Here is a 22739-nt window from a genome sequence, read left to right as displayed (position 1 = left end):
TATCCTTGTTTTGAAGTGTAATTTCTGCTTCTGCTTCACTTTCCTCACTGGAAAGGAGGGTTAATAACATTTATCTTGCAGGATAACATGAGACTTAGAGATAGCCCACAGGTCGGGGCATCTATTGCACAATATAGTTCAGCTCCTAAGAAAACCAACCTAGCACAACCAAAATGTGTGTATTTGTGTTTAGTTGTTTCATCCCCATATTGAATGTGCACAGGATTTTATTTCAACTACTATTTTTACTATACCATTTTTTTAAATGGAGACTTTGAAAAGATATGAAACACAATCCCTGTCCTCCTAAAAGTTTGTGAAATCCCAGCCAGAATGTCTTTGAAACCGTCATTCAAGTAGGGCAGTTCTGCCGAGGGCTAGAGAGCCTTCAGTTTACCCTTGGCAACACCCTCTAAAATCCCCTGTATACCTCTCCAGCTTCCATACACTTCCCAAGCTTTTAACCAGACACGAGACACCCTGAACACCAGCTGTTTAGCATTTAGATAAAACCAAAAAATGTTTCGAGAGGTTGACTCCAAAGATAGCAAAAGATGAAGAGATTGAAGATTTAATCGCGAACAAGCCACCCTATTCCTAATAATCATCACGCTTGGCTGGGCCCCGAAGGAAAAGCCTGGACCCTAGGGGCCTAGAAACAGAGAAAAGAAACAAATGCACAGCAGTTGGGCCACGTCCACCTAAGGAACAGTCACCGCACAAGCGGAGCGTTGCAGAGGAGCCCTGGATCACCCTCCCAGGATCGGAATGGGTGCGGCCCGGGGAGCCCGGTTCTAGGTGGACACCGAGGGCTGGGGAGCAACCGGTCCCGCGTGCCTGCCCGAGGGGCTACTGCCCCCGGGCGTATTTGCATCGCCACACCATCGGATGAAAGTAGCGTGTACGGCTCCAGAAAACACATGTCTCTCGGCTATTTTCAGGGGGGAATGCTGGGCACCCTCTGCTCTAAGTCCCTTGGGGTGGGAAGTTAGTGAACTTTCAGAATGGGGGAAGGCGCAGCCCAAGCGAGCCGGGGGCAGGGTGAGGGGGCGCCGCTGGATAGAGATGGGGGAAGGGCGGAGGTGGTTTCCTGAGTGTCTCCCTCCGGAGCCATCCCCGCGCTCAGCCAGCAGGACCGAGGAGGCGCGGAGACGGCGCTCACTTCTCCCCTCGCCTGCCGGCTTTCCAGTAAAGATGCGCCAGGGAGAGGTGTAGCCTGCTCGGGAAAGGCGGGTGCGGAGCGGGAGCGCGGCCGCCCGGGCCTGGGCGCGGCGGGAGGGGCGGCGGCGGCTCCTCACTGCACCAACCTGCAGGCGCGGGCTGGCTGGGCCAGCCGCGGCCCCTCCCACCGCACCCCACCCCCGCCGCCGCCGCCGCCCCGGGAGCCGGCCCGGGTCCCAGTAGGTGCCGCAAGGAGCCGGCGAGCGGAGCGCCCGCTCGGGACCGCAGCCGCCGGGCGACGTCGCCGCCGCACCGGGCACTTCTGTCTCCCCGGAGCAGGTTCCTTTCCCTCCCTGTCCCCTCTCGTCCCCCTTCTCCCCGTCCGTCCCCCTCCGCCCCCGCCCCCGCCCCCGCCCGCACCTCGCCCTCCCTCCTTCCGCCCCGCGCCTCCCGCGATCGCCCCCTCCCGCCCGGCCGCGCTCCCAGCTGGCGCTCAGCACCCCGCGCTCCCCGCGCCCGCTCGCTCCTCCAGCTCCTCCAGCTCAGTCTCCAGCTCCACCTCCGGCTCCCGCTGGGCCTCCCGCTCGCCCTCCGCGCCCGGCTCCCCGCGCGCCCGTCCCGAGTCCGCTGCTCGCCGGCGGCCGCCCGGTCATGTCAGGATGGAGATCCGGCAGCACGAGTGGCTCTCGGCCTCCCCCCATGAGGGCTTCGAGCAGATGAGGCTCAAAAGCCGCCCCAAGGAGCCCTCCCCAAGCCTGACCCGAGTGGGCGCGAACTTCTACAGCAGCGTCAAGCAGCAGGACTACAGCGCCAGCGTCTGGCTTCGGAGGAAAGACAAGCTGGAGCACGTAAGGGCGACTCGCTCCCGGGGGCCTCGGCCAGGCACCTGCCGCATGCACCCTCCCCGTGGTGGTGGCATGAGCGCGCGCGGGGCGCGGGGGGCAGGCGAGGGGATCCTGGCAGGCGCCGACGTCCTAGGTCGGATTCGGGGGCTTCTCTGCCTGCAGTTTCTTGCCTTAATGACCGGGCTGCGGGGAGGGGAGGGCAGGTTCCCTTTCAGGCTCTTGGTCCCTGCCGACCCGACCTGCCCACCTGCGTCTCCCGGTAGGGTTCATTTGCACGGGGTTCTGGAGGTGCCTGTGCAGAGTGAGCACGAAGGGGAAGTGCCACCAGCGTGGCTCCGAGCAACCTGGCGTTGCATGGTAGTGGGCTTTAGAGCGGCGTTTGCCCGCGTCTTTGGGGGCTGTTTTACTCAGTCCAAAAACTAGCAAATTAACGAATGAGTAAAGTTGGCGCCGCTAGCGACCAGCGTGGACCCGCGCACAAGCCATTAGAGTTTTTTGCAGAGTGTCCGCTGGGATGAGCAGTTGGTGATCCTCTCTACTTGAGCCCAACTAGGGAGAGATTTGCGCGTTGCAAGGAGAAAGGCTAAAAGCGAGCGGATCGTCGGGCTCCCCAGAAATCCTCCCCTCTGGAGGGTGGGAGCCGGTGAGAGGGGACCTCTACTCCCAAGGAGTGCCGACTTCACGCGAAGTGAATTGGCTCTGGAGTTGAGCTCCTAAGGCTTGCTATTTTGAAAGAAAAAAAAAAAACCTTCTAAAAAGGCGTTTAGTGGATCCACAGTTTCAAATTTGATCCATCAGCATCTTCTTAAACCAAATGTTAAAATTAAACTAAGAGAATTATCTCAAGAGTGCAGCACAACTAGCTAAGGAGAAGATGCTATTTCTCCCTGCAGAGCTGCAGAATCCAAATTGAGTCTGCTAATGGAATGTGGAGGTTTCCTTGTATTTGGGTCAGGACGCCAACAATGATAAAAAAGATAAGACCAAGAACTCCTGGAACTCACGCATTTCCAACTGCTGCACCGACCTGCTTCCCATCTGCCCCCCAAAGCACTCCTCCTGGGCTCTGCAGCACCAACAGGCTTCTTCCCAGGAGGAAACACGCGAAGAAGGGGCATTTCTCTATTATAATAATCTGAAAGGAAGGTCTGTGCCTGCTTTCTGAGGGCCTGATGAAGTCACTGAAAGCTCTAATATGAAGCTTTGAGTTGGATAACAGCACTATTTTATGTGTAGAGAGCCATTTGCTAATGTCAAAGGGATGCCTCATATCCTTAAGACTATGGAAGTCGCTGAAGGTTTCTAGGATGGCAAGTTGTTTGAAAGGCAACGTATCCATTAAACATGCCCTCTCCAGAATTAGTGAAGGGGCTGGTGGTGTTATTAGTTTAAAGGGGGCAAACAGCATCTTTATGCATTACATGCAAAGAGCATGTAATCAACCAATGATGTGGCTGATTTTAGTATCAGGGATAACAGTCTAGCCTTGGGAGGGTGATAGAACGTATCTTCGTTTTAGTTTCACTCTGAATGTATGTTCTTTTGCAGTTTGTGCTTTTAGCTGGTCTATTTCCTTTATTCTCTTACTGAAAATCAGTGGTGCAGCCTTCTATGACTATGTCTTGAGTCATGAGCGGTGCACGCATTATACTTAAATGCTTTCTCACTTTTAGATTTTCATTGAAAGTATCAAGTCATACCATGTGTGCCACAGCAGTCTCACCTTTCTGCATGAGTATGGGATGCTCAGCCTCCTCTGAGGATTGGAGACCAGGGAAAGGAAGATGTGGTTATTTGAAAGCGTGTGAGCATCTATGCTTTCTTCTTCACTCAGATACTCCAAAAGAGAGCATTGCATACATTTTTAAAAAAATCATTCTCCTCATTTGATATTTAAATCAGTGTAGCATTTGTTTTACTTTTTCAACTACATTTAATGAGAGATGCATATATCTATTCTGATGTTTTTCTCTACACACCCTTTCAATTAGAAATGGGGCTTTAAATAAATTTATTGGTGGTATTCTCTTGCTCCTTTGAAACATCACGAACATTTTTAATGAATTAATATTAAAGAAAGTGCTATGAAAAATTAAATTAGTATACAATATAAATTTTTTTTGAATTCAAGAGCTAGTTGTTTATAATATACGTCATGTTGAATGCACTATAATATTTCAGGTAGTTTGATGGTAATTTCTAATAGAAATTAATGTTTGAGATGTCAAAAACCTATAACAAATGTAACCTGGTATCATTGCTACAGAAAGCATGAAAATCTAATGTTGACTTCATTGTAAACAACATTCTGAACATATATGGTACCTTCTGATTCATATGTTGCAGGGATTAGGATGAGTGTGTCATGTGAAATTCAAAGGTGATATATGGTAGTTTAAAAACACCCTTCTGGTCTGTCTAATCAAATGGATGGCCACTTTTTTATGATGTTGAAAAAATAAATTAATAATTATGATGGAGATCATATGCCTGAAAACAGCCTACTCAGTTATTTTGCTGGTGCTTTAAAAGCCAATCTAAGTATTAAGGAAATAAATAAGTTATGACTTCAAATGACACACATATTTGGTCATCATAATAACAGAATTCCCCTGAAATGAAATGTGGCAGTGTGTGGGCTCTGTCCAGACTTCAGAGGGATAGATTAATCTGAAAGTCAATCATGTGAGATAAAGCAGACAACCAAAGAATGGATTTCCACCCACTTTGCTAAAAGTGAGAATAATTTATTTCTTCTTTTCTGATTTAAAGGCTGCTGGGCCAATTCTCAGGTTGGACAAGAAAAAAATGACCTGAATTAGTTGAGGATTGGAATCAATCTTTAAATATGGTTCCTGTCACTGGATGGTCGACACTTAAGATGAACACTTACTAAGAAATAAATGTTTATAGAGAATCATTCCATACTAAAATAATGAATAAGAAGCTGCGAGGAAGTCGTGTTTTGTAACAAGAATTCTGGACTTTGAATTCCACTGTGAAATTTCAGGAAAAAGTAAAATTGCTGGCCATACACAGAATGTTGTATTATTAGTTACAAATAATGCTCTTGGTTGTTAAAATCTTTTGTTTCCTGTTCTGCTTCATAATGTCCAGAGCTTTGGAAGGCATTAGGCTTGGGAAACAGTGGAAGTTCTGTTCTCTGTAGGATCCTGTATTTACTTTAGGTCTAATGTAAAAGTGAAGGATTCTGGTCCAGCAAAGCAAGAGGAGCAAGGGACTACTTCCAAACCCTCTAATCCACCCCTGCTCTTGCAGCCTCCCTAGGGCTGGGTTGCTTTGGAGGTAACCATTTAATAAGATGTGACTATCCCAGAGGATAACATGGCGTTAGGCTGGCATCCTTTGGTGCTGTATGCTTTTTTGAACATTTTTCTTTTTTAAAGGGGAAGAGATGCAAAGCCCACTCTACTTTGTTGCCTGGTTTTATGCCAGCTGCACTGTACGGAGGTTTCCTGGTGCTATTTATGAAGATGGAGATGCCTTATTTTCTCTCCTACTTATTCAATTAGCTCCTGTCAAAGTGTGGTTAAGAGTAGGAGCTCTGGTAAGAGGGATCTGGGTTCAGACTTCGATATCATTTCTTATTAATTCTGTGGGCAAAGGGCTCACAGTTACCAAGATGCACAACTGTGTTCCCCCTTAGAGAAGTCGCTGGTTTGCCATGATGAAACAAGACAATCCATGTCTGTAGTGCAGGAACGAACATTCTCCAAATGTCAGAGACTCGGACACCACGAAAGTATACTTTCCACCTCACATATCTCACCTGTGCCTATTGGCTGGGGACCATCCTCATCTTGGTTGCCTTGCCCAATGGAAGCTCCATTCTGATATTGTTTTTGTGGCTGCCAAAGCAGCTAAAGAGCAGTTGGAAAATCATGTAATGATTTAGGCTTTCAATGCTTCCGCCCAGAAATCATCCATTCATATGACTCATGTGTATTGGCCAAAGAAAGGTTCATGGTCAAGGCTCACTTCCAGAGTAGCACAAGGGGATCCAGCTAAGACCCAGAAGGAAGGGAACATCTGTGACCAGCTCTCACAAGACTGCTGCAGCATACAAAGCACTTAGTGCAGTGTTTGGCCTGTATTAAATGCTCAATACACAGTAACTGTAGGTATATGACTTCTCATGTGCTGCCTGGCTCTAGGGCTGAGTCCTCTCACTCTGCCCAAAGAGCTTCCAGATTTCAAATTTGAGATCAGCCTGTATGATGATCCTGGACGCTAAGTGAGTGGTCCTTTGGTCGGCAAGGCTGGCTCACTGTCTTGGGCCTGTTATGCTGTCTGTTTGCCTGGCTTCCCATCCATCATCTGGGGGCCTGACTCTTCTTGGCTAGTGGGGCCCTTGCTTGCTCTGTGGCTGGCCATTCTGAGGCTGACTTTTCTGGTTCTCACTCTCTCAGCTGGTCCTGCTAGCAGAGACAAACTCTTTGTCCTCTCTCCAACCTCTGCTTCTCTTCCCAGCTTGTGCTGGTGGAATTAAGTCAAGCAACATTTCATTTATCGGCAGGATGTCTCAGAAAGCCCATTTAAATTTGAAAGAGAAAGCAGAAGACAGATTTGGTAAATCATAAAAGCAGAATCCTTAATGTTCTCACCTGTAGTGAGCCGTAGTATCTTGATTTATTTAGTAAGTGCCTCACACTTAAAAAAAGATTGTCTCCTCTAAGTGTGAATTTGCACCTACTTAAACAGAGTTTATGTTACCAGTGAATAGTAAATAAATGCCAAGTGCACACTTGCCTCCTGGAATAAATTGTTTACATGAGGAGCAAAGGATAAATGGATTGGAGCACACTTGGTCACAGCGGTCTAGGCTCATATTATGTAATGTCATTTTTGTCCCACGGAGCAGATCCATGAAAATACTGTACCCCACAGGGTGGATCCGTTAAGCGCCAGAAGACAGAGTTCAACCTAAGGGAATGAATCTTTAAAATGTTCCCTTAAAAATCCAACAAACAAACAAAGAGTCTGGCAAATGCTTAAGAACATTAACATTTACTGGGATCATTTCCTGCGGTTTTAGATAAACAACACAGACAAGCTATAGTTGGAGGCAGGATTCTCTGCCGCCTCCAACTCATCAGTCAAGACATGAAAGTGTAGATGTCTCATGAGTGTCTTCCAGTGGATCTCAGGGCATGTCCATCACTGTCCTTGTCACCACTACAGTCGACATATATCTACCCACTAACGGACTTCTCTCACTGCAGGTTGACATTGCAGTGTCTTTTGAAGAATTTTTGGTTTCTATGAACTCTCTTGGGTGTGGCTTGACTTATTTTAACATAATCATAGGGACATATCATATTTAATATATTTAATTTGAGAAGCTCTGGATGATTGAATACAAGTTTTCTTTTTCATCTCTTCTTCCATATAATAGCTACATGCCAATTTCTGGCTAGTTTCTCTAAAAGTTTTTACTTCTCTCTATAGACTTCTATAACTATCTCAGGTTTAAACTTAAGTAACAGTTTTTAGTTCTTAGTTCTTCTCCAAATAAATCTGATGAGTCCTTTGAATTCTGGGACATGGCAGTAGTTGTAATAAGTTATGTTCTCTTACTGAATTGACTGATAGATGGCATAGTTAGACAGACGTGGAGTCTGTGGCACGATCTCACACCAGAAATGTTGCTTAAACTGTATATATTGAGGACATTAAAATTACCCAATTGCTTAAGATCCATTCCTGCACAGACTATGTGCTAAAAGTTTAGGGTACAACGTAAATGTTGAGGTGCAGTTGAAAGGTCAAACTGTGGCTGTTAAGAGATAGCCCTTTTAACCAAAAAAGCATGTTTAAATTTTACTCGGAAAGAAAAAGAGCCCAGTTTCTAAAATCACAAATCTAGCCCTTATGAAAGAGTTAAGTGAAGAATGAGGCAAACTTTCCCAGGTAGCCTTATCTGCATTGGAAAGTCTGACTGTGCCTGCCAGTTGAAGTCGGCCCAAGTTGAACTACCTGCCTGGGCATCATGGGACTGGATGTCATGACCGTTGGGTGATAAATATATTTCTTTATCCTCCAGAGTAGGCAAAGAGCCTTGTGTTTCACTGACTTGAGCTATTACTGTGCTCCTGCCAGTATGTTGTTAGGTCTGATCCAGCAATAACATGAGGAGTTAATTTGAGAGGATGGGACTCATTGACATAAAAAAAAAATACCAATTGGCAAACTCATCAGTCACCAGATATTTACTGAGTGTCTTTCATGTGAAAGATACTGTGTTAGGAAGCTGTGAGGTCTTTAATTCAACAAGCACTTATTTGACATATACTGTGTTATTAACAATGTTATTAAATACAAAGACCAGTGCAGGGTCCCTTCCCTGAAGATGTTTAAAGTTGTATAAACAGAGTTACAATATAATGGCAGTGTTATGATTAAATAGAAAAATGCAAACTATTAATAGTGTAAGAATACTGCCTTCAAGGGACAGGTTGTTTAGATGATAAAGTATACTTAAAAAAAATAAGCAATGGATACTGTCATACATAATGATAATGTATCATAACAAAATTCATTTTATTCCAGTAATGCAAAGTTGATATGAAATTTGAAAATCAATTACTATATTTTATCATATTAATAGGATAAAAGAGTAAGACCATACAATTATCTCAACAGAGGAAGAAAAAGGATTTGATGAAATTGTGTACCCATGCATGACAACATTCTCAACTGACAAGAAATAAAAGCAATCATTACTATTCCGATAAACCATTTCTTTAAAAAGAATCACAGTTAATGGCGAACTATTGAAAAATTATCTGTGCAGATTGTGAGTGAGACAGAGATGTCCATGGTCATCGCTTTTAGTTGGCATTGTACGGAAGTAGTAGACAATACAATAAAGCAAGAAAAAGAAATGAAAATATAAGAATTGAAAATGTGTAACGACATTATCACTACTAGCAGACAGTATGATTGTGTACATTTGAAAATACAAAATAAACTACAGATATACTTAATGAATTAATACTGTCACTGGATTTATCAGGACCACTGGATTCAAAGCCAATAGGCAAAATTTAGTTATTAGAAATTCCAGTCTAACACTTAAAAACATTACTATTTACATGAACATAAATATGTCAAATACTTAGGAATAAATTTAATAAAAGCTGGTAAGACTTCTTTTTAATTCTCCCCTAAATTGACCTATAGAGTAGATCCATTTCCAATTAAAATGTCAACAAGTTTGTGTGTGTGTGTATTGAAAAATGATTCTAAAATTTATATGGCAATGCAAAGGGCCAACAATAGCCAAGACAATCTTTAAAAAGAAGAACAAAGCCTGCTTCCAGGCATCTAAACTTATTCTAAAGCTAGATTAATTAAAGCAGTGTGGTATTGGTGCAAGGATAAACAAATGGATCAACTGACAAACTAGACAGTGCAGAAACAGACCTGTGCAGATAGATACTTGATTTATGACAAAAGTGACTCTGTAATGCAGTGGGAAAGAGATAATCTTTTCAAAAAAGGGTGCTGGGTCAGTTGCATATCCACATTAAAATACGTATTCATTTGTGTTTTAATATGAATCAGTTTAATATGAGTTGTAAACCTAAATTGGAAAGTGAAATGAGGCTTCTAGAACAAATGTAATAAAAAAATTCTTCATCAACTTGACTAAGGAAAAATTTTGAAGCAGTTTTAATAATCCCAATTTATTAGATTAGTAAACTGGACTATATTAGAAGTAAGTGCTTTTGTGTATAAAATATTTGATTAATAGCATGAGAGACAAGTCACAAAGTAGAAGAATATGTATATATATATATATATATATATATATATAATTTAACTTTAGAAGAATATATTTTTAGCACACACTCTGACAAAGAGTTTTAATCCAGGATATGTAAAGAGCACCTACAAATCAATAAGAAAAATGTAGACAGCCCAACAGAAAAGTGAGGAAGACACTTGAACAGGAACTTCACAAAAGAGGATAATCAAATGGGCAGTAAATGCATGAAAAGGTGCTTGATGTCATTAGTTATCAAGGAAGTACAAAATTCAAACAAAATTATACACCATTATTCAAACACAAGAATGGCTGAAATTAAAATAAAATAATTGACAGTGACCAAAGTATTGATGAAAATGGGGAGCATCTGTAGCTCTCATAACTTCTGGTAGGACTTCATTCATAGCTGCTTTGGAAAACTGTTTTTGCAGTATCTACTACATTAAACACATCTTTTGATATTTTGACCTATAAAATTTAAATTCTATGTATATATCAAATAAATGTGTGCTCAGGTTAATGAAAGACATATACACAAATGCTTACCGAAGCATTATTTTAGTTGTTCACAGTAGGATGCATCCCTAATATCCAACTATAGTTGAATGGACAATGTATTGTAGTCTATCCATACAGTGTAATACATTGAGCATTGAAAAGAGATTTTATATATATCTATTGCATCTGCATGCAATAATGTGAATGACTCTTTCAGGCATAATAATGAACGAAAGAAGACAGACATAGACAGTATGATTCCATTTATGTCAAGAAACAGGCAAAGCTGGCCAGGCGTGGTGGCACACGCCTGTAATCCCAGCACTTTGGGAGGCCGAGGTAGGTGGATCACCTGAGGTCAGCAGTTTGAGACCAGCCTGACCAACATGGTGAAACCTCATCTCTACTAAATACAAAAAAATTAGCTGAGTGTGGTGGCACATGCCTGTAATCCGAGCTAGTTGGGAGGCTGAGACAGGAGAATTGCTTGTATCTGGGAGGTGGAGGTTGCAGTGAGCCAAGATTGTGCCATTGCACTCCAGCCTGGGCAACAGTAGTGATACACACACTCTCTCTCTCTCACACACACACACACACACACGCACACACAAAGGCAAAGCTGAAGCATGGAACTAGGACTCAGAATTAGCGATTACTTCTGAGGGTAAAATGGGCACGAAGGAGGCTTCTGGGGAGCTAATACTGTTCTATCTCTATTTTTAGGTGTTGGTTACGAAGTAAACATTTACAGAGCTATACACAGAAGATTTGCATCTTTATGTAGATTTCCATGATAGTTTACAAAAAATAAATAAAATGCGTACAGTGCCCTTAGCCTTGCTTACTGCTTCTCTCCAGCTATACCTCCTCAGACTCTATGCTTCTCCTGTCCTCTCTAACCCATGGAGGTCTTTGTCCTTGATGTTCTCTGTCACTGTTGTCTTCATGTGGGTGACTGCTGCTTGTCACCTCTCCCTGTATGGCTTCCTGGGTCCTTCCCTCTCCTCACCTCCCCATCTGCTTTAGACAACCTTCCCTGTTATCCCATTGCACATAAGACACTGTATCTAGTTAGAGCTTTATTTGCCTTTCCCACTAAACTACTCACTCTTTAATAAATTCTCTTTTTTAGTAGAACATCTATATTTTATTCAACAGGAGGGAAGATAAAACATTCTTTTTTTTTTCTTTTTGACTTTTTTCAACTTTTATTTTAGGTCTTGGGCGGGTACATGTGAAGGTTTGTTACATGGGTAAACACATGTCACGGGGATTTGTTGTATCATATTTCATCACCAGGTCTTAAGCCCAGTACCCAGTAGTTATCTTTTTCTGGAGTTCCTTCCAGGAGCAATTGTTTAGTGAATTGTGACCTTCTTGCTTCAGAGACCTTAAATCATGCCTTGTCCAGAGAAGGATATCAAGGAAGGCCTCACTCTTGGTGATGGTTCGTACTGGTAAGGACCTGGAGGAAGAGCTGCCAGTTGTAGGACTGGTCTGAATTAAGACTTTTGAGCAGAATCTGGACAGCCAAAAACTGTTTGGGAGAGCAGTGACTTAACAAGTATATCTGGGGACAGAGTTTATTTAGGAAGAATTGGGTGTAAAAACACCCACAATGGTAGATTAATGGGCTTGAGGACTTGGAAGATACTGGGCTTTATTCTGTAAGCAAAGGGGAGATATTTGAATAGATACTTTATTTGAAAAGCCCAGGTTTCAGAAAATGTGGTGGCATGCAGTGTTGAGGAATGAGAGCCTAGAATTGGGGAGACCAGTGTAGCATCTTTTTTAGTGGTCCATATAGGAATTGTGAAAAGGGAAGTAAAAAGAGGTGATGGAAGTAGAAAACTAATGAGGCACCGATGCAAGAAGTATTGTAAAATAAGAGCTCATGGGACTTCCTGTTGAATTGGATCTGGTGAGTCTGAGCAAGCTCATTCATTCAGGAAACGTTTATTGAGTGCCACGGATGTGCCAGAAGTTGTGATTGGCATGATGGACACAAGAATGAACAGGGAAAATTCCAAAGACTACTTGAGAGTTGGAATTCTGCTCTTTGTATCTTGGACCCACACCATTGTTATGGTCTTGATTCATATTATCCATCTTTGTGTGATTATAATTAACAAACATTCCAATACCTACTGCCTACAGGGAGTTGAGCTTCAGACTTCGGAAGATTCAGCATATATGAGTGGGCCTTTGGCCTCGGGTTACTTATGATCTGGTTGTCTTTCAAGACTCAATTTACATGTCATCATTTCTAAACCTAAAACCTGGTTGGGTGTCCCTCCTCTGTGGTCCCATAACACCATGGACAGCATATTATAACCCTTAACAATACTGTTTTGTTTTAATTGGCTGTCTATCTCTGCCCTCAATGGAAAGTTTTTGAGGGCAGCAATGGTGTCTTATAAGAAGGTACTGTTAATGCCAAGCACAGTGCCTAGTAGATGCCTAATATTGATAAACTTGACTATTGAAACAGCAAGTGAACGAATGAATGAATGTGTGTTGAGTGAGACAGGGCTTAGACCCTTGAGTGAAAGAATAAGACGGCATATGCTACCTGCCAGATGAATGCTACAGATGTCATATGCGACAAAAATTCACTGGAGGCTGAGTGCAGGTGACTCAGGCCTGTAATCCCAGCACTTTGGGAGGCTGGACTGGGAGGATCGCTTGAGATTAGGAGTTTGAGACCAGGCTGGAAAACATAGTGAGATCCTGTCTCTACAAAAAATTAAAAAATTAGCCAGGCGTGGTAGCACGTGTCTATATGCCTGTAGTCCCAGCTACTCAGGAGGCTAAGGTGGGAGGATTACTTGAACTCAGGAGGACGAGACTGCAATTAGCCATGATTGTGCCACCACACTCCAGCCTGGGCAACAGAGTGAGACCCTGTCTCCAAAAAAAAAAAAGAAAAAATAAAAAAGAATTCAGTGGAAAGAAACCTCAGGTTTGCATGAGAAACTACTGATTAGGCATTCACACAGTTGTAATTGTCAGATGAAGAAGGTAATATACAAGGCTGCATCTGAACCATCCCACAGGTTGAGATTTCATTGATTTTCTCCTGAGACTTGGGAAATGGAGTCACTTTAGTGATCTATGTCAATATCCAGTGTTATTGTTTATGGTAGACTGTTTTGGGAGTTTCAACTTCCATATGTCTCCATTTTCATTAGTCTGGAGGAGAACATTAACTTTTTAAATTTTTCCTGAGTACATTGTTCTAGCTTGTTGCCTTGCCTGAATCTGCTAGCTCATTATTTAGCTTCTGCCCTGCTGTGGCTGAGTGCACTTGATCAGAGACGGTAAGACACTCTGCAGCAGGGAATGTGTCAAACCCACCAAAATACTATTTTTTTTTTTTTTTTTTGAGATGGAGTCTCTGTCACCCGGGCTGGAGTGCAGTGGCACGATCTTGGCTCACTGCAAGCTCTGCCTCTCAGGTTCATGCCATTCTCCTGCCTCAGCCTCCCCAGTAGCTGGGACTAGAGGCACCCGCCACCATGCCTGGCTAATTTTTTTTTTTTTTTGTATTTTTAGTAGAGACGAGGTTTCACCGTGTTAGCCAGGATGGTCTCGATCTCCTGACCTCGTGATCTGCCCTCCTTGGCCTCCCAAAGTGCTGGGATTACAGGCGTGAACCACCGCACCCAACCAAACCCACCAAAATACTCTTAAAGGCCGGCCAGCCTTGATTATTAAGAATCTTCTACTCTGACTTTCTGACTCAACTGATTCCTAAGTTTTCCATTCCCTGAAATCCTATCACTTCAACCCACGATATGTCCGTGACATGTGCACACATTGCTAAGAGTCTGCCTATGAGATTCCCAATGTATCTTTCTATTAAAAAAACTTTAATTTGGAATACCTTTAGATCTACAGGAAATTTGCAAACATAGTACAAGCATCTCCTATACACCTTTTTCCTGATTTTCATTTCCCCTAATGTGTTAACACCTCAACTCCACACTTTATTTGAATTTCACTAGTTTTTAAATTAATGTCCCTTTTCTGTTCCAGGATCTCATCCAAGATACCACATTGCATTTAGTTGCTGTGTGTCCCTGGTCACCTCTTGTCCATGACAGTTTCTCAAGCTTTCCTTATTTTTCACCACCTTGACGGTTTAAAGGCATACAGATCAGGTCTTTTATAGAATGTCCCTCATTTTGTGCATGTCTGATTTTTTTTTTTCATCATTAGACTGGGATTATGGGCTTTAGGATGGAGTACCACAGAGGTCAAGTGCACTTCTTGTCACATCATATCATGGCATACATGCTATTTACATGACATGATCGATGATGCTCATCTTTATTGTTTGGTGAAAGTAGTGTTCGCCGTGTTTCTCACTATAAAGTTACTATTTTTCCCTCTCTACACTCTAATTTTTTGAAGCTAGACATGAAGTCCCACATCCCCACATTCAGCAACTCCTGGGCTAGGGAGTGATTGCATTTATTCTTTGTAATTTTTTGTAAGGAAGATTAGTCTATTTTCCCTCAATATCTTATTTATTCAAACCTTTATTTATATCCGTAGACCCCTGGGATATTTATCTTATGTTGTGGGTAAAATCCAGTTCGATGGTACTTTTATGATTCTTTAAGTTGTTCCTGCTTTGGTCATGAGAAGCTCCTTTAGGTGAGCCCCTGTGTCGCTTGGACATGTCCACATCCTTTTATTTGGGGGAACTTCCTTATGCTGTGGTACTACAGAATAGTCCAGGTTTACCTCATGTTCTGCCCCTTCCTAACATCTTAAAGATATTTTCTCATAAGTATATTACAAATGATATTACATTTTCAGCCCCCACAAGGTCCACTCTTAAAAGGCTCCAATAACAGAAATACATAGTCATTTAATATATCTGGTAAAATCTCAATACAGATGTTTTTGTAAAGATGAAACATCTTCATTTGAACTTTTTTTTTTTTTGAGACAGAGTCTCGCTCTGTCACCCAGGCTGGAGTGCAGTGGCGCGATCTCGGCTCACTGCAAACTCTGCCTCCCGGGGTCATGCCATTCTCCTGCCTCGGCCTCCTGAGTAGCTGGGACTACAGGCGCCTGCCACCCCGCCCAGCTATTTTCTTGTATTTTTAGTAGAGACGGGGTTTCACCGTGTTATCCAGAATGGTCTCGATCTCCTGACCTCATGATCCACCCGCCTCGGCCTCCCAAAGTGCTGGGATTACAGGCGTGAGCCACCGCACCGGGCCCATTTGAACTTTTTATAAAACTCTTGAAATATCCTTAATTATAACCCTGGCCTGTAAACTCTCATTCAGATGATGGAGAGACGTCTTCTACTAAGCAAATGACAGAGCAAGCTAAGTGGTACAGTGACTTTATGTAGTATCCTAATATAGTGTGTGTGTATGTGTGTGCATGCATGTGTGTACAGACACTTTCTTTGTACATACAGATATTGTTATTCTTTTCTTTCCAGCATGAGTGGTCTGTTGTTGGAGAATCATGTTCTGCACTTGGCAGTCATAATTCCATTCGTATTCCGTGGTTCCCCATTTGGCATTATTTTCCGACCTTTTTTTGTGTGTGTGTGTGTATGTGCTTAGAATATTTGGCCTGCGTGCGGGAAAGGGGTCTTCTATAGTCAGCCATCATGAGCCAAGACACTATTATCTGAGATTCAAATCTCCTTCAAAAACTGACTTGGAACTTTCCAACACCAGCCCATTCATTCATACTAATAAAACATCTCCAATGAGAACGAAGAAAAGATGGATAAGAAGAGAAGGAAGTATGGTGGGATAGGCATTGAAATGCTTCAAAAATCCAGTGCTCCAAGGCTGATGCTAACTTTGGGTGGGGCGTTTCAGGAGTGTGAAAGTGTGAAGAATGTACATTTATCTCTGGAGTCCCTAGCTCTCATTTCAAGATGCTTTTTCTCCACACTGATCAGCCTGCTCGTGGTGCTGCTCCCAATAAGCCGCCGAGTAATTCCTGTCTTCTCATCCTCCTGACTTCCTGGTCACACCAAGAGTGTTGGCGTATTGGTGGCTTATTCATAAGTGTATCCTATAAGCCAAAAAATGAAATTAATTATCATCATCGTTGTGGCTTTTCTTCACTCTAGGGAATGTTACAAAATGAGGTAATAAGAAGACAACAATCCCCAGAGCTTTGTTGAAGGTGGTTTATGAAAAGGAGAGCTTTACTATCTCTCTGCCCATTTTCTTTAACAAAAAACAAGATGAATTAGAAGGCCTCATGTCCTCTAAGTGTAAAGGAGGAAGAAAGAAAGGCAGGGGCCGCATGGAACAGATGGAATATCCCCGCTGATAACTAGCATTTATATTGACAAAACATCAATAATGAGCAGTGTACAAGGAGGAGTTCAAAGGAGGCAGGCATTTACCCTCTATGGCATTTATTTATTTATTAAAATGGAGTCTTGCTCTGTCACCCAGACTGGAGTGCAGTGGTGCAATCTCAGCTCACTGAAACCTCCACCTCCTGGGTTCAAGCAATTCTCCTGCCTCAGCCTCCCGAGTAGCTGGGACTACAGGTGCATGCCATCACGCCCGGCTAATTTCTTTTGTATTTTAGTAGAGATGGGGTTTCACCTTGTTGCCCAGGCTGGTCTCAAACTCTCGAGCTCAGGCAATCTGTCTGCCTCAGCCTCCCAAAGTGCTAGGATTACAGAAGTGAGCCACCACTCCCAGCCTATTTATTTATTTTGAGACGGAGTCTTGCTCTGTCACCCAGGCTGGAGTGCAGTGACATGATCTTGGCTGACTGCAAACTCCACCTCCTGGGTTCAAGTGATTCTCCTGCCTCAGCCCCCTGAGTAGCTAAGATTACAGGCATGCACCACCATGCCTGGCTAATTTTTGTGTTTTTAGTAGAGATGGGGTTTTCCCACGTTGGCCAGGCTGACTTTGAGCTCCTGATCTCAAGTGATCCACCTGCCTTGGCCTCCCAAAGTTCTGGGATTACAGGTGTAAGCCACTATGCCTGGCCCTCTATGGCTTTTAGATAGTTGTCTTATTATTTTATTAGGCTACTTTTTTTTTCTATTTGGATATCTCACTTTACTTGACTTTTGTATTGGGTTTAGAATAACCGTCACAGGATTGGTATCGAGATGAAGGAAAGAAGTTGATATGTCCAGGCAAAATGTGAGCGTTGAGGAAAACATATTCAGGCAAAAAGATTTGCAGACAGAGATGAGCTACTGGGAATGGTGAATGTACTGACCTTAGTGTACTCTTTTATTTCTTTCCTGTTTTTAAGAATGGGAGGATGTGCTTGTCGGAAGTACAGAGCGTGGTGAAGAGCTCCTCAATATGGCAACCCTGAAAGAGTCTTTGGGCTTCTGATTAGGAGTTGGAAATGATATAGTTGGTCATTTCCATCTGGTCACCTAACAAAATTTTTTTTTTTTTGAGACGGAGTTTCACCCCTGTTGCCCAGGCTGGAGTGCAATGGCACGATCTCAGCTCACTGCAGCCTCTACCTCCCGAGTTCAAGCGATTCTCCTGCCTCAGCCTCTCAAGTAGCTGGGATTACAGGTGCCCACCACCATGCCCAGCTAATTTTTTTTTTTTTTGTATTTTTAGTGGAGACAGGGTTTCACCATGTTGGCCAGGCTGGTCTTGAACTCCTGACCTCAGGTGATCCGCCCACCTTGGCCTCCCAAAGTGCTGGGATTACAGGCATGAGCCACTGTGCCCAGCCAAACACACATTTCTTTAGCTTAGAAACCTGCTACTGGTGAAAAGCTATTTGAATAGAATTGCTGGTCGGCATTGGAAAAAAAAAAAACAGATTAAAAAAGTCTTTACTGAGAAAACGACTTAAAAGGCAAACTTAATATCATCCGTGGAGAGAGAATAATAAGTCCTACAACCATTTATTAAATGTAATTACCACTAAAGTAAGTAGGCCAGTATCTAGCCTCGCACCTATTCTGAATCTCAGGCTTGCTTATTTCCACACTAAAACACAGCAAGATAAATGGGCTTTAAGATAAATTGTTGAGCTGTTATTTGGGCTATTTATCTAGGAAAACATTTCCTTCCCGATATGAACAGAGTAGATTTCTAGTTGCATTTGGAACTGTGTTGTTTTAGCCAATGGACCTGTTCGAAGAAGAAATAAACTTAATACAATCTTTGCCAGCTGTAATTTCAAGATTAGCTGTCCAGTTTGAGTAGGATATTTGGTCGATTGATTTATCCATTCATTAACATTTAATTCTATAGCTCAGGGCAGTCACCAATAAGGTATAGTTAACCACATGGATAATTTAACATTTTATTCACTGTCACTATTGCTATAGTAAAAGGACCATCATTATAACAAGGAAGGTCCTTTCCAGTGCAGCACCTTCCTAAGAAGAATTGGGGGTTTCAGCAAAGCTCTATTGAAATGTAGAGGCTTGAATGACCTCCTGGCCTCAGTCACTTCTGCACAACATCCATGGTTCAGATTTGTGTCTCAAAAGTTTATGAAGTACCATATGAGATTGAATTTCAGGGTTGCTGGTAAAAAATTTAGACCAAATACATTAAATCCCCAAATGCCAAAGGCCTGCTGTTTTTACAGCTTTTCTTAATCAGAAACATTTTTTTCATGTGTGTGTTTTAAAATTTGTGGTGATCAGGGATCAAAAGAATTTCTAGGCATTAGTTTTGCTAAAGATTACTCTTCTAAGTAGCTTACCTGACTGGATAAAGTCCAGAGATAGACCCTTATATAACTGGGAAATGGTACTCTTGCCAAGGATACCACTTCCTGCCGCCTGGGCCACCTCTCACCCTTGGCATGACACGTGCTGCTACTGAGGACGGTGGTGGTGGCTCCCGCTGTGATCACCGTTAGTACCGCGTTGCTGTCCTATTGCTCTCATAGTCACTTGCAGATGCTGAATCTGGGACTGGTGCAGAGGCTGGCATTGCCTGAGCTCCCGCACATCCGCTTGGAAGCTGAACCATGCCAGTGCACTACGCCACTTTACTGGACTGGGAAGAATCTTTTCCCGTCCAGTATTTCGCTCCACACTGACCTCTTGGTTTCAAAGTAGCTCTGCTTATGTTTCCAGCGACTTGAGGTTTTTCTGTGGAGATGAGCTTTACTGTTCCTGGGCCCCTTTTCTTTTCCTAGGGCCTATTCCTTTATGGAGGCAAAGCTTTATGGTGGAATTGAGAGAGAAGAAATGTGTCTTTCTCACTGTTGCCCCTCTCTACCAGTGCCTGGGTTACATCCTGATTTCCTATTCTTCCATTTAGAATGCATGAATGCATTTTTTTTCCTAGGAAGCTCATTATTCCTCACGCTGCAGTCCTTAACCCTTCTCTAGTATGTATAGTTTCAACAGAGTCGGCCTGGGCTCAATCCTGAGCTGCTCATATCTCTGTCTGGGAAGTTCATCTTCTTCCTTGAACTAAATAGCAAACGTGGATGCCTTAGTAAAGTGAGAGTATCACAGCCCAATTGTCCTTACACCCAGGCGCCTCCAACTAGAGAACAGATAATATGTAACTTAAGTTTAATTTCCTAGATATAGATCACTAAGATGTATATACCTTCCCTCTTATTTTCAATTGGTTCATCATCCATGCAGCAAGGAGTAACCATCATTACTAACTTGCCAAAGGAAGCGTTGAACCTCTCGAGGTTCCCCCAGTGTTAAAATTCTCTATGTAGATGCCTGTCACTTACTGGTTGTTTGGCAAATGGGTCTAACATGTATCAGAACTCTTAGTACTTTTATATGACTGGTAACACCATTTCTCATAAGTTTTTAAGACAAAAATGGGAGCTTTTATACAGTCTGCAGCAAGTGCTATATATTTGTTTTTCACTTACTGGTTTTTATTCAAGTCTCTTTAATACTTTTCATTTTCAACTCCTACACTTGTGCTTGCACTGCTTTTATTACACCATAATTCTGCTTAGAGGTGCAGGTGGCAGTGGGTGAAGGAGGTAATGATTCCCCAGCAGGCTGGTTGGTCTGTGGATGTGGACATGATTGCAGTATAACTGCAGTGAGAATACCCATGCCCCTCACCTCTGAGCTCCTCGGGCAACTTGAGGTCTGCCGTTGTCTTTCATCCTGAGGACCAATGATGCTATTTTTAACGCACAGCTCAGAGGGTAGGTCTCCCTTTCTCTGGTCCATCACATGGAACCTTAAACTCCCATGAGATGACGTTGCAGAACCTTGCCATGATGTCTGTGGAATACAATAAAATCATAATCACATGAAGAAAATGTGCCCATCACAGCCTCCCTGAGAAATGCATCCTTATTTTCTTCATCTGTTCATCAGTTGATGGACACTTAGGTTGATTCCAGAACTTGGCTATTGTGAATAATGCTGCAATAAACATGGGGGTACACTCCATAAATATGTACAATTACAATTTGTCAATATTTAATAAGAAAAGGGAAACTCATCCTTGTTCAGAAATCTACTCTTGGGGTCTAATTAAACCTTCCTGTTACAAATAAACCCATTTCCTCATTGCTGTGTCCTCTTTAAAACAGAATAAAAAGTGGTGATTCACTTGACAGTTTTTTAGGGGGAACAGCTTCAAACCACCAGTATAATTTCATATTATTGTTAATGTTCCAAATTTTATTTTTAAAAAATTTTTTGAGACAGTGTCTCACTTTGTCACTGAGGCTGGAGTGGAGTGGCATGGTCACTGCTCAGTGCAGCCTCCACGTCCTGGGCTCAAGTGATCCTCCCACCTCAGCCTCCTGAGTAGCTAGGACTACAGGCACATGCCATGATGCCTGGCTAATTTATGCTAATCTTTTTAGAGATGGAGTATCATTGTGTTGTCCAGGCTGGTCTCAAATTCCTGGGCTCAAGCAATCCTCCTGCCCTGGCCTCCCAAAGTACTGGAATTGCAGGTGTGAGCCACTGCACTCAGCCCCCAGTTTTAAATCATATAAATTACTCAGCATTTCAGCAGAGTTATGATGTGCAAGAAAATTTTGGAAATTCAGAATAATAAGAAAAATTAGTTTTTTTAAAAAAAAATATTTGGGAAAATCATGTTTCACCGAGGCAGAAAACACCTTTTCCCTAAATATTCAAAATGGATTTTTTAGAGAAACAAGTTGCTGAAGTGGAGACAAATAAAATATATGCTACAAAGTAAATGTAAGCTATAAGTTTCTTCTGGGGGAGACTTTAGAATTTATTTTTAGATATCACAGTTAAAAAATGCTTTCATGGATGGAGGCAGTAATTGCAAAAGAACAGCTTGCTGATAATTGCCCTGTGATTAAAGATTCAATTTGTTTAGTATGAAAATGAATTGAGTAACCTTCTTGGCTTTATTCAAGGATGATGACTCCTAAGTGGGCCCTATGGATTGCAGAGCCCTAGAGGTTGAAATCTCATGCATGTTGTAGTCTAATGGGGCCTTGAATGATAGTAGTTGATGCTCATATTAGTCTATTTTTTACTTAAGAAAGCCCCAGGACTGAATCATTTGAAGACACATCAGCTAGCTGCTTTTGACAAAACTCTAAGGACCAGAATGATGAAAACAACACATTTTGGGTTCCTTTGAACTTTTTGTTTCAGTCAGTTGGACCTTCCTCCCCTCCCTTCATTGGTGCATCGAACTTCGTTTATTCTATATCCCAAAGAGCTAAAATAGATAAAATTATTTCTGGTAGGTACATTTTTTTTTATGAGAGAAGAAATGACAGGCATGTGTTTTGTAATATAACAACAAAACAAAATACAAACTAGAAGACACCCATATTTGGTTAGTCTGTGTCACTTGTGATAAGTTCAGCATTAACTAAGAGAATACCCAAGGCAGAATGTCTTAAATAGTAAAGCAATCTTTTATCCCACATAAAAAATGTGAAGAGTTGTTAATTCAGCAGCTTAACAGCATCGTCAGGGTTCTTCCCACCTTTCTGCTCCGCATCAGCAGGCTCTAGAGTCTGTTTCAGGTGTTAAAATGCCATCAACGGCTCCCGACATCATATCCTCATTTAAAAAAAAAATTCAAAGGCCAAAAGAGAGCACTTGACCTTATGTCCCTTTTTAAGAGCAGTGAAATGCTTCTTAAGGCCTCTTTCCCATTGCACTCACCATCATTGGCCAAAGAGTTCCATACGGCTATTCCTAAACCAGTTGCTGGCAAGGGAAACGGAAGACTTCCCATTGTGAGGTGGAGGGCATCTGGACTTCCTTGAAGCACAGGTCTGCTTATAACTTATCAAAATTGGAAGCCCTGTGCTTCAAGGAAGTGGAGGGGTGTTGTTAGATCATTTTTGCATTGCTATAAAGAAATAAATGAGATTTGGTCATTTACAAAGAAAAGAGTTTTAATTGGCTCATGGTTCTGCAAGCTGTACAAACATGGCACTGGCATCTGCTCGGCTTCTGAGGAGGCCTCAGGGAGCTTTTACTCATGGTGGAAGGC

The 22739-nt window shown here is 42.6% G+C and overlaps 1 protein-coding gene across 4 annotated transcripts in view; it reads left to right on the top strand.

The window, feature by feature from the left end:
• Positions 1-22739, top strand: part of PLD5 (phospholipase D family member 5) — a 447561-nt gene that overhangs the window by 4450 nt on the left and 420372 nt on the right. Inside the window, exons 1-2 of one of the 4 annotated variants that reach the window (NM_001320272.2) lie at positions 1400-1500; positions 1694-2009. The exons of 2 other annotated variants lie outside the window; for them this stretch is intronic. Coding sequence is in view for 1 of the 2 variants with exons in the window: in NM_001372062.1 (NP_001358991.1) it covers positions 1821-2009 (189 nt within the window). In the remaining variant the exon portion in view is untranslated. Of the gene's footprint in view, positions 1-1399; positions 2010-22739 lie in introns of those variants that run through there. One more of the 4 variants, NM_001372062.1, reaches the window with a different exon arrangement.

Source organism: Homo sapiens, chromosome 1 (assembly GCF_000001405.40).
Source record: "Homo sapiens chromosome 1, GRCh38.p14 Primary Assembly".
Taxonomy (NCBI): Eukaryota; Metazoa; Chordata; class Mammalia; order Primates; family Hominidae; genus Homo; species Homo sapiens.
This window is presented reverse-complemented; position numbering and strand designations above follow the sequence as displayed.